Source organism: Homo sapiens, chromosome 12 (genome assembly GCF_000001405.40).
Source record: "Homo sapiens chromosome 12, GRCh38.p14 Primary Assembly".
Taxonomy (NCBI): domain Eukaryota; kingdom Metazoa; phylum Chordata; class Mammalia; order Primates; family Hominidae; genus Homo; species Homo sapiens.
The window spans coordinates 106,856,533-106,868,780 of record NC_000012.12 but is presented as its reverse complement, the minus strand read 5'-3'; the positions used below and the strand labels follow the sequence as shown (position 1 = coordinate 106,868,780).

The 12,248-nt window shown below is 36.5% G+C and overlaps 1 protein-coding gene across 25 annotated transcripts in view; it reads right to left on the bottom strand.

Annotated features, from left to right (window-relative positions):
- Positions 1 to 12,248, bottom strand: part of RIC8B (RIC8 guanine nucleotide exchange factor B) — a 114,635-nt gene that overhangs the window by 20,536 nt on the left and 81,851 nt on the right. For 24 of the 25 annotated variants that reach the window (NR_147133.2, NR_147137.2, NR_147131.2 and 21 more), the window contains one exon: positions 8,369 to 8,513. Coding sequence is in view for 10 of the 25 variants with exons in the window: in NM_001351361.2 (NP_001338290.1) it covers positions 8,369 to 8,513 (145 nt within the window). In the remaining 15 variants the exon portion in view is untranslated. Of the gene's footprint in view, positions 1 to 357; positions 481 to 8,368; positions 8,514 to 12,248 lie in introns of all 25 variants that reach the window. The other variant, NR_147135.2, reaches the window with a different exon arrangement.

Genomic DNA, 12,248 nt, shown 5'->3' with positions numbered 1-12,248 from the left:
GTGTGTGTGTGTGTCTAGAGTGCCTGCTTTAGACACTCATTGTGTGCTATTTCCTCTTTTATCAGGTGCTCCTAAAAGAAGAGAAAAAGGCCTCCAGTTAGAGGCCATCAACAAAAATGCTGAATGGGTCATCGTATTTCCTAAAAGTCAAGAACAAAGAAGACCCAGACAAGGCTTCTGAGAACTATGGAGACGTATCCAGATGCCACACTGAAAATACAATTCCACCACCCATCCATTATTTGCTCAGGCATATAACAAGACATCTCTTTTCACTGGTTTCTCTTCTGCCACCTGTTAAATTAGAAAAACAACTAGTCTTATAAATGAATAAAGGTGCTTATTATAGATACATACCACTTCCCAAGCAAAGAAAATCAGGCCTTAGAAGAAAGTATAAGGGAAGGTAGATGTATTAACTATGTAGATCATGCTTATTTGCCTCTTGAGAGATGGCTTCTCTCCTCAAATTCAATGGAGCTGTAATTTGAAAAATCAGGCCTGTAGGCACTTTTAGGATATAATGACATTTGCACACATGATCACATGCTTCAGGGAAAAAAATGAAATCAGGAGGACACACTGGTAAGCTGTGGGCTTATTGTGGGCACCACAGCATACAAAGTCACTATATGAATTCCCAGATTAGGACACAGTTTGATGGTTTTCTTGGTTCTCTTAAGAGCTTGGTGGAAATTAAGTCTGTTTTACATAAGGTAACCTCAAGTCCCCTGGCTGCTAAAATGATATAATGGTTTGCTCTGAAATTAGCTACTAAAGTAACACAATTCTTGCTATCTGAGTATAAAAGCAGAAGGCAGAAATTCATTCTTACAGAGTAAGAACTCATTTTTTGCCATAGAGTAAAACATTCCAACCCTCCAAAGTCAGTCTAGGGATTTGGGTTTCATTTTTTCCTTTAAAAAGACATTTTTCCCCTGGATATTCGGAAGAATGTAAACAAAAGCCACAGAAAACACAAGTTAGGGCACTGAAGTATAGCGTAGCACTCTCTTATGGGAAAAATGCCAGTGTGCTGTGGCAGAAGGCAGATGAACACTGTCTCTTCTCCCGCTCCCCACTTCAAACCAGAGTCTCATGTAGTTTCCCTACCCAGAAAGGAAGAGAAAACAAATAATAGCCATTGTGACAACAAAGACGTGAGATTTCATAAAATAGATTACTTTTGGTGGAACAAATACCTGACACCTTTCAACCTCAAATAGTACAGTCTGAGACGCCACAGTCCAGGTTTCAATCTTAACGCTATGAAATTCTGGAGTTAGTTTTATTTCATTCCAAAACTTGGAGTCTTAAGATGCTTTAAGAACACTAATTGTGGTGGACATTTTATTGGGTAATTATATTTATCATGATCTCCTCCACCTTGTCTCTGCTCCTCTGTCCCATTTTGTAGCACTCCAATCTTGTGACTTCCAATTAGGTGACAAGAAGTGTCTAAATTCTTATCTGTGGTATTTCATCATAAATTTTGTATAAGACTATTATATGAACTGACAACAGCTATGGGCCTGGAGACAAAAGGATTAAGACACACTAAAAAGGTATGGACAAATGAACACAGGTATAAAACCTGAACTGTATTTCAAGTCTTTTGCTCTTTCTTCAAATTTTTGCTACCTTTGGCCAACATCAACAGTACTAGGTCATTTAACAAAAAAGATCCATTAAAACTTAATTCGGCTATATGAAAATTAACTTCAATCTACAATGTGTGGCTTAAATTCATTCAAAGCATTGTGGTTAAAAAAGGAACTCTAAAGTCAACCTACAGGAGTTGGACAGGTAACATAAGTGAATAGGATAATCTGTCAAACCAAAGGAGCTTATACCTCGTAGGAAGGAAACCACAGCTACTCAATTCCATCAACTGGTTGTCACGTAGAATGCAGGCCCTATGTAACCAGAACTTCCAGTTTTTCAAAAGAAGTTAGAAATCAAGATTTTCATCTAAATATCTATGGGATATGTTAACAGAACTTCCATTTTTTCAAAAGAAGTTAGAAATCAAGATTTTCATCTAAAATATCTGAATTCTAAATGTTGCTAAGTAATTAAATTATTTTAAGAACACTGTGTAAAACAAGCAAAACCACAAACCAAATAACCAATAGGACATGGAGCAAGCCAAACAAAACATACTTGTGGGCTAAATCTAGACAATTTGCAACCCCTACGAAAGGGATCAGGGTTTTTAGGAAAGGGCATTTTGTAAGCCAAGACCAGGAAAGAAGGGGACAGGCGGGTGGGAAAGGAGATGTTATATGTGAATGAAACTAAAACAACTTTCCAGGGGGAAAAACCCAGAATACACTGCTCCCCCAAAAAACAATATAAAGAACAAAATGGAAATTTACCATATCTGAATTTTCTTGAATTCTATTCCCTGGCTCCCATTCCTCAACTAGATGTAGAAGCTTGACGAGGAAAGGGAACTCAATTTTCTTGGTATCCTAATGCTGAGGAGGGGCTGACTAACTCAAAAAATTCATTCATTCAACAAAAATTTACTGACTGCCTACTGTGTGCTGGGCACTATTCTGGGGACATCTACATGAACAAAAACAGACCAAAAAACAAAAAAACAAAAACTCCTCTTCCCTCTTGGAGCTTACTTTTTGGAGGAGAAAACAGACTTAATAAGTAAGTTATATGGAATGTCAGAAGGTGAATAGCACTGTGAGAAAAAAAGAGCAATGTAAGAAGTATGATATGGAGTGGTAAAGGCAGGAGTGCAGCAACTGTTAACAAGGGCACAGAACAGGTGATACCTGAGTAAAGACTTGAAGGTGGTGAGGGAATGAGAGCGATATGACAGCTATCTGGAGGACAGGCATTCCAGGCAGAAGGAACAGCAGTCAACAGAAAGGCCTCAGGCAGGAGTGTGTCTGCAGTGCCTGACACATAGTAAAGAGGTCAGTGTGGCAATAGTATAGCAAGAAAGGGTGCAAGTATACCACTGCGAGGACGTCTGAACAGTTGACTAGTCTGATTTACATATTAAAAGGATCCCACTAACAGCTGTTTTGAGAACAAAATGAAGAGGAACAAAGGTAGAAGCAACAAGACCAGTGAGAAGGCTTTGAGAATGATCCTGGAGAGAGAGATTTTAGCTTGGACCAGAGTGGTAGCAGCGATGACAAATAAAAAGGGTAATTAGATTCAGAATGTATTATGAAGATAGGACCAGAACTACCTGACAGATGTATGTGAATATTTACCAATTTAGAATGAATCAAATGGATTTTTCTGTTTTCAGGAATATCGGGGTATACACAGATACATTTTCTTTCTTTTGTTTTCTGTTTTGGTTATATCAAAGAAAAATAATAGATGCTCTGAGAACAGGGAAGCTATCTGAAGGGCAAACTTATTTCTCTCTTTGATTGGCTTTGAAACAGAATATAGTAGAAGTTAAAATAAGCTCTGACTTCACACCCATTAGGATGGCTATTACTAAAAATCCCAAAGACAAGCAACCCCAGAAAATAATAAGTGTTGTGAGGATGTGGAGAAAAGGGAACCCTTGTACACTGCTGGTGGGAATATAAAATGGTGCAGCTGCTATGTAAAATATGGCAGGCTGGCAACAAAATTAAACACAAGAACTACCTACCATGTGATACAACACTTCTGGGTATATACGCAAGAGAGCAGAAAGCAGGGACTTGACAGATATCGGTAGACACATGTTCACCAGCATTATTCACAACAACCAAAAGGTGTATATGTAATGTATATACACACATGGAATATTATTCAGCTGAAACTTTGACATGTGCCACAACATGAACGAATCTTAAAGACATTATTCTAAGTGACACTAGCCAATAACAAAAGGAGAAATATTGTATATGATTCCATTTATAGAGATTCTTAGATTCCATAGAGACAGAAAGTAAAATGGTGCTTACCAGGAGCTAGAAGGAGGGGAATGTGTACAGAGTTTCATTGGGGACAAGGAAAAAGTTCTGAAGAGAGATAGTGGTGATGGTTGCATAACAGTGTAAATGTACTTAATGCTACAAATTTGTTCACTTAAAGCTGATTAAAATGGCAAATTTGATGTTACATATTTTATCCCCAAAGTAAAAAGGCAGAATGAAGAGCACAATAAAACTTGCTTTGCCTACCTCAAAAAACAACAATAAAATTCCCAAAAACCGCAAGCTCTAGAGTCAGGCTGCCTGACCACTTAACGAACTGTTTGCCCTGGACAAATTACTCGATTCATTGCCTTTAGTTTTCTCATCTATAAAATGAGATTAATTATACCTCAAAGGATTGTTGTGAAGATTATATAATATTTGTCTAGTTCTTAGAAAAGTGCCTGGCACATATTAAGCACTCAATAAATACCAGCTATTATTACTAGCGTTAGGGAGCCACTTGTGGAGAAATAGGCAACACAGAAGGCCTCAGATGATCCAGGAGGTAAGTTACTCTATTCAGTCAAATCCTTACTATGGAGATGCATGTGTAATCTTCATTAACTAAAAAAACCATGCAACAAATAGGTGGTTTTGTGGCGTGTGCTTTAAATTCAGATATATTTTGAAGAGATACCAGTTTCTGAAAATGTCTCAAGTAATTTAAGAATTACCATATAAATGATACACTGATTCTCCATAAAAGAAATAGGGTAAATTATGAAAGCACAACCTAATTCAGGTTTTCACATTACATTTGCAATAGAAAGAACCAGTGTAATATGGTGTCATTCTTTCATTTACTTATCTGATATTTACTATGTATCTACCATGTATTAGCCACATAAATTTATACATACTGAATATATATACATACAGGAATACCAAATTGCATCTAGGCAATAAAACAAAAAAGACCTCAAAATGCCTTTTTAAATTATAGTGCTTTTTAAATGTTTCCCATGTCAGGCCGTTTGATTAAGAGTAATAACCTTGACATAAAGGATATAGAAAACTGACGATTGTGAATCCATAGCAAATAAACACTGGAGCAAAACTCAGTACTGTAGTTAAGCTAATATACTGGCCTCTTTTACCTCTGGTCTTTTAGAACTCTGAATTTAGATACGTTTTATGACTGCTTACAGTAACAGGTTCTAGTTCCCAGAAATGCTATTTTACATAAATACATCATCACAGCCCAAATTGGGCAAAGAGAAAAATCTTCATGTCCTGGTTTCTGGGTCACTTACTTCAATAAATATTTAATATTAAAAATAAATAAATTTATAAAGCCCAATATAATGAGACAACTATAAAAAGACTTGACTGAAGCAGCATAGCAAAATCTTGACAAATAAAAGAAAAAGTATCTTGCCTTGTGCTGAAGAAACTGTTTATACAGCTGGTGGCATAGCTACAGCTGAGAAAAATATGGTCAAGAAGGAAACACCCCTGAGTTTATTAGTACAATGGTTTTAAGCTTTTCGATCTGATTATGAACTGGTGTGGTGTGTTAAGTGTGCAAGGAGGCTCCCTAGGGTTCTGCTCACTTTTGACCATCTGTTCCTCCTATCCCTCCACAAAGCAGCCTTTTAAAGATACCTCTTTGGGCCTCTAGATGCCTATGCACCCTGTGAAAGCCACTCATCTAAAAGGAGCCAAATGTCATTAGACACACATCTTTCAGTTGATGTCTAGAATAATGTATAAACCATACCAGCCAGTTATATCACCTTTACAGTCAAGGGACCTCCATTCTCAGAGGCATTAAAGAAACAGGTATAAAGGTTAGAATTTAGAAATTTGGTTTCCCTTTGACACAGGACTAAAGTTTATCTGAAAACTTTCAACAAACCTGGCTAGACATACACCAAAAATTTATGTGGCATGTAACTCAATTCTATGAGTATATTTTCTCTAAGTGTGCTAATTGCAGAAAGCCATTTCCAGTCCATTAAATACATTTATTTTGACACAAAAAGCTTTGTTGTGATATTAACTGTCTCCCATAGCCTGAATGTAAGCTCCATACAATTCTTGGTTTCAGATTCCAGTAAAGGATTACAGGTTACCTTGGTGCATTAATCAGAATCCACTTAAAGTTTTGACAATGGGACTAGAGCCAACTGGATGAAGAGTAAGTTCTCTGCTTCTGCCAATAGTAGCAACTGTTGTGAATAAATGCATCACAAGAAAAGCAGACTGAGATCTTGGGAACTCTGACTGGTGAATGGTATTCAGGTGTAGGGGAGTAAGCAATCCTTTCAGATGCTGACTTTATAAGCTTGATTGGTAAAAAATTTTTTACAACTGTTTTTAGGAAACAAGTTCTTTGAGCTCTATGGATCGCTCCACAGAGTACAAAGGGTACTCCTGCTTGCAGAGTACTTTATTTACCACCACTTCCATAGAGATCATTTGCACAAATATTTTAAAGTAACATTAAATATCTCACCACACTTTTTCACTTTAAAAAAGGAAAATTTAAGAGAAAAACAGATGCAAATCTATCCGAAGGGGGAAGATGTGATGCTACTTGAAAAACACACATTTATACTTATAATGAGCAGTGTTTAAGAAATACAACAAAATTTCACAATGATGACTATTCTGACTACAAAAACATACCATTCCTATGAATATTATAAGCAAAGTCCAAAGGCTGAATATTATAATTAGGGATGTAAGGCTTAAGTACAGAAACTTTCCATGACAGAGAGCCAAGACAGTAACAATACTAATCATGGCTGTTGATTTCAACAGAAGGTACTTCCTGAAATCTAACATCACTTCCACAATGTAACATAATTCTATTTTCCTATTGTTATAGTAGCATTCTGGCGCTTGCTACATATATGACCATTACCATTATAGAAGTTATCTACTAAACAAAACTAACAATACATATTGAGATACAAAGATATCAACCATGTATGAGTACTCATGAGTTTTCTATCATAGTTGAATGTGTCCACACACCCTGGGATGTAAGAAATGCCTAATGTAATTGCTACTTTAATTTAGAAATATGAAATTTCTCAAGTGGTGTATTTTAATGACTCAAATCAAGAGATATCAATATTAAACTGATAAGGAAATATAGTTTATAGAATGAAAAAAGCTAGTAAGACTAATTTAGAATGATGACTTCTATAATTCGGGAAAGAAAGAAGCAGGATTCCTCTATCTTAGCTTCAAATACTTGTCAGAGATAGCCAATTGATAATATCTAAATGGTGGCAGTCTTAAGAAAATAGTGCTTAGAGTCATTGCCAGCTTTCCCCCAAAAAGTCTTTATTTCTAGGACACACTCTATAAGATCCTACTAAGGCTGATGGCATTGGGGATGCTAAAAGTAACACTACCTACTCAGACCTGATTTGCCAAGAAACAGGCCATATATGTCCTGTCTAATTGGGAACTGATCATTTCTTTCACCTTCTGACAACCCATTACTTGCATGTCAACAAGGCACAATGTATGTTTTTTAAAAGTATCTAATTTTGCAGATAAAGATAGTCTATCCTCGAACACCTATTGCATGATCCACATCACACTCCAGAAGATGCCAAGCAGAAAACACAGCATGTCAATGTCACCATGTCACAAGGAAAGGGCATGCTTTTCCAATTTTCAGATGGAAATCTTCAAATGGAACCCAGAAAAAACATAGCTCAAATAACTCCTAATAAGCGGAAACTAAGAATTTACATGGGTTGAGGGTTACGAGTGGGATGGAAAGGATAGAGAGGGAATAGGAGAAAGGAGAGGTGGTTTATCTTGGGATAAAAGAGAATAATTATAGTGTCTTTAATTTGTTAAGCACTGACTCAGAGAAGACTTCACAGAGTCTCTGGTTTGCCTACTCATTGCACTAATGTATCTGTTAAAAGATGAGTCTTATATGTTTGTTTGATTAAAATTCACTGTGAAGCCAGACTTCTTCTCTTTTGATATTAATGTGTCTTGTTGCCTATTTTACTGACTTATAAGGGCTTTTATGCAAGGGGGAGGATCAGAACCTACATTTAGATTTCTGAGAAAGACTAAAGCATCAAATAATCAACTTAAATATGTGGTCTTGGTTATACCTTATAAAATCTTAACCTATGGAAAGGAAAGCAAATAGTAAGCAATAACACTTTCTCAGTACAACCTAAACACACCAGCTCTCTTAGTACTTGGGAGAAGATAATAAGTACGTTGAAAATATCATTTCTTGCATTATTAGCCTTCCTCCATCACTTGAAGTCACTCTCTAAAGCACTAGCTATGAAACTGCCTCTAAAAACACCATTAAATGGAAAGTTTCCAAATCCACAAGAGAAAAGAAACACTTGGAAAATGAAAGACAAAGGAAATAACCAACTCAAAGGCACAGCCATAGTTAGGTGAAAAGAAATTTGATACTATACTTTGGTTTTGCATTTTTGTATTCTTCAGTGTCTGTGTCCTCATCCTCTGAGTACCAATTATCTCCTCTTCCTCCAGCCAAGAGGCCCCTGGCCGCCAACAGTCCTGCAGCATTCCCATAGCCAGTGTATTTCAGCAGACTATCCACTGCAAAAACAGAATAGGGTTTTAGATAGGAATCCTTGGGTCTTCACCATCATCATCAACCACTCACCAACACAAGAAGATTGAAGACACACACTATGGCAGTAAACCTTTAAACTGAGAGAATTTCAAAATGTGGTAGTGGTTATACTGAACTACTTACAAATTTTCCCATAGGTTCTGGGGACTAAGAGCCTTTTTTGAGGTACCAGAAACTAAAGCAGAGCTGTTCTGAACACACTTTATGGCAAAAGTGGGGCCTCTGTGACTGCCAGGCCTTTGGTAAGGGTCACGCTTTAAGTTTCTGATCTCAGATCTTACTATTTAAAAATCCAGTTTTGGAGAAATGATAAGAAACTAGAGAGAGTGAAAGTCAGATTGGGACTTTAGCAATATGGCACATAATGTAAAATCTCTCTCTCATTCTTTGTTGGAATTGGAGGAAAAGGAAGTAAGAAATAAAGAAAACTTAAGGAAGAATATTAGCAAATAGCATAGGTGATAACTTACTGCTTTTTTAAAATAAAAAGTCGGCAACCATATATAAGCACATGAAGCCCATTACGAAGGTAGACCCAGGAGTTAGACTGGCTGGATTTCAATACTGGCTCTACCAATTACTAATTGGTTGACCTTGGGTAAGATATTTTGCAGCTTTATCCTAGTTTTCTAATCTGTAGAAACAGAATAGTAACTATCTACCTCACAAGTTAATATATGCAAAGTATGAAAAGTATCTACCAAGAAGTAAACAATCATTCTTTTTCTCTGAGAAGAGTGGGTAAAATGATCATTTTAGAATTATCTTAGTTTAAAAAAAAAAGGAAGCCTAATGAAAAGTTTGGTTCAGGCTCTCTGAAAGTATTATCCTGCCAACAGGGTCAGGTGATGTCTCTCTTAAGATGAGCAGACACACACAACTTTTGCAAGGGACACTTGCACTGCAGTAATGTTTTTAGTGATTTCTAAACACCTTTAAGGAAGATACTAAGCAATAACTGGCAGCTTTGTTTAGCAGTATTTCATTTTCTTCAGGTACAATTTCAAGGTAAACAGAATATTTAATCAAAAGATAAGAATTGAGAAAATTTACTTAAGGTCTTTAACAGAATGTTGTTAAAATGTCATCTGAAAGGCAACTGTAGGAAACACAACATAACATACAATCTTATCCACGTATAAAGCCATAGTAAAATCTACATCTGTAATTCAGATCACTTACCTCAAAAAAGACAAAATAGAGCTGGAGAAGATTCAGAAAAAGGTAATTAAAATGACTGGGGAACTGAAAGGGATGGTGGAAAGGAAAATAGGTAAGAAAAGTGGGTATATATGATCAGAGTATAAAATCATGGAGGATACGGACAGGATAAATATATTCTAGGATAGAGTTTACTGTTACATTTTCAAATACCTGAACTAGAGGGTCCTTCTCACGACACCGAAAATAAGTGGTATGGGGATAAATGAAAGGAAGCCCTACTTTCAAATAATATAGCAAACTGGTGAAATTTGTGCAAAAGGAAACATGGGCTAATGAGTATATTAAATGATGTTGAAACTAGTCATTTTCAATCTTAAAACCTATTGGTAACTGTGGTCTCTCTGTAATAATTCTCAGTGGGTGCTGGATAGAATCCTATTAGAATTATTGAATGAGGGTGGGGTAAGCCCTCTGAATAAGTCTGATATGCTCTCTCTTGGCATCAGTGCCTCCCCAAGATGTAGTGCTTTAGATAAATGAAGGAATCCTTAAAAAGTACGAGCAGAAGAAATGAGTGTTCAGTGTATATAGGTATTCTTAATATTCATGAAGGTCAAACATTTTCTTAATGACATGGTCAGACACAAAGCGACTGAAGGCAAAGGATCACAGATCTAAACCCACACAAAGTAACTTACAGATAGTAGGTGATGCTATCATTGTAAGCATTACTGATAAAGCTTATTTTTAACAAACAAGGAGGTTTAGTGGATCCAGAAAAGAAATACTCATTACAATTAGGAAACTCTAAATTGAGATATGAATAAATGTTTAAATGAATATACTTAAAGACAAAATAACAATAATTTAAAAAGACACAAAATGGCGAAAAATTAAAAGAGTTTAAAAATGCAAAGGTTATGAAAAGCCAAAATAGGTTAAACAGAAGTAAACAGAATACTAAATAACTGTTCTCTTATGTAGAAAATCTCTCTGGAAGCCAGTTAACAGTAAAAGCCCCCGGCAATTTTATGAAAATCGTGTCAACTCCTCTTTCACTGGAACAAACCTTATGTGCTAACTCTATGACAGGCAGTGTGGGTTACAAAGGTGACTTAAGACATAGTTTGCTTTCAAAGTAGATAAAGGGTATAGCCAAGAGTTTTAAAATCACATGAACTTCTGTTAACAGGATAAAATACCCAAAAATTAGGGGTAGAGAAGGTGAGACAAATGAAATACGAAATCCTCACAGTGAGAAGCATTGAAGCAGTGTTTCTAGCTACTTTTAAGTCTGTTTTCAAATACACCATAAAATATCCTATTTGATACTGGGAAAGTAGTAAACGGAAAACTGACTGCACTTGGATGTTAAGGTGAGCTGCTAGTGCAAACAAAAGATTTTCTGGGTGGTTCTAAAATAAAAAGGAAACACACAAATATATTTGTTCCTTGCATAGTAATTATCCATGCAGTTATATGAAAATGCTGCCTAAATGAAACAATTCAGCATTCAGTCAAAAAGTTGCGAGAAATATTTCACCACTATTTTATCAGGATGCTAGAGGGCACTATGAACAGAGGAAACCAACCACAGCAGCACTGTGCAAAGTCAGAACTGCACTGGTAATAACATAGACAGTTACACAAATGTGGGTTCTACCACACTCTAAAATAAAAGCAATACGTTTTTGCTCTTTTACCAAGAACAAAGAATGTCAAGAACCAGATTCTACCCAGAGACCATTCCCCCTTCTCTGTGAAAATCCTTTTCCTTCTAGTCAAATGCTGTAACTTTTAGAAGACTCAACTAGTGGCTTCGTCTTGGTGTCCATACAGTCTCACACTCCTCCATTTCTTATTCCACACAACTGCCCAAAATATCTTTGTAAAGCAAAAATAGGATTTTACAACCTTCCTGGATAAAATCTCTAACGTCTTCCCCTAAAAACTAAGCTCAAATTCCAAAACAGGGGCCTAAAGGGCTCGTTTTCTGGCCTCTGCTGTCTTTTCCAAACTTGTCTCCTAAAGATTCCTCACACATTAAACCAGTCTCTTTTCTATACATTCAAGGCTACTTCCTATTTCTCTGTCCTCTTCTGTGAAGACTTTCTCTGATCTCCTCCACACCGCCCAAGCATTCCCTCTTCCAGGTTGCCATAGCACCGGCACATTTCTTCTTAGGGCACTTATCATAGTGTACTGAAATTACTCCTTTAAATGGGACCCTGTATTCACCAGCCTGAATTTATAGAGAGCACAAGCATTTGCTCTTTTATTAAACATTTATGGGGCACCTGCTATCTGTTAAGCACTGGGGATCCAAAGATGAGTAGGACATGATCTCCGACCTAAAGGAAACTCAGTGTCTAGAATGTAAGTTCAACAAATAAAGAGTTACAACATAGCAAATGTCAAAAGTATTAACAACAGAGAAGGAAAAATGGCACAAAGGAGAAAATGACGAACTCTGCCTGGAAGGTCTTCACAGAGATGATGCTTAAGCTGGTCTTCAAGGATAAGTAAAGCTCGCC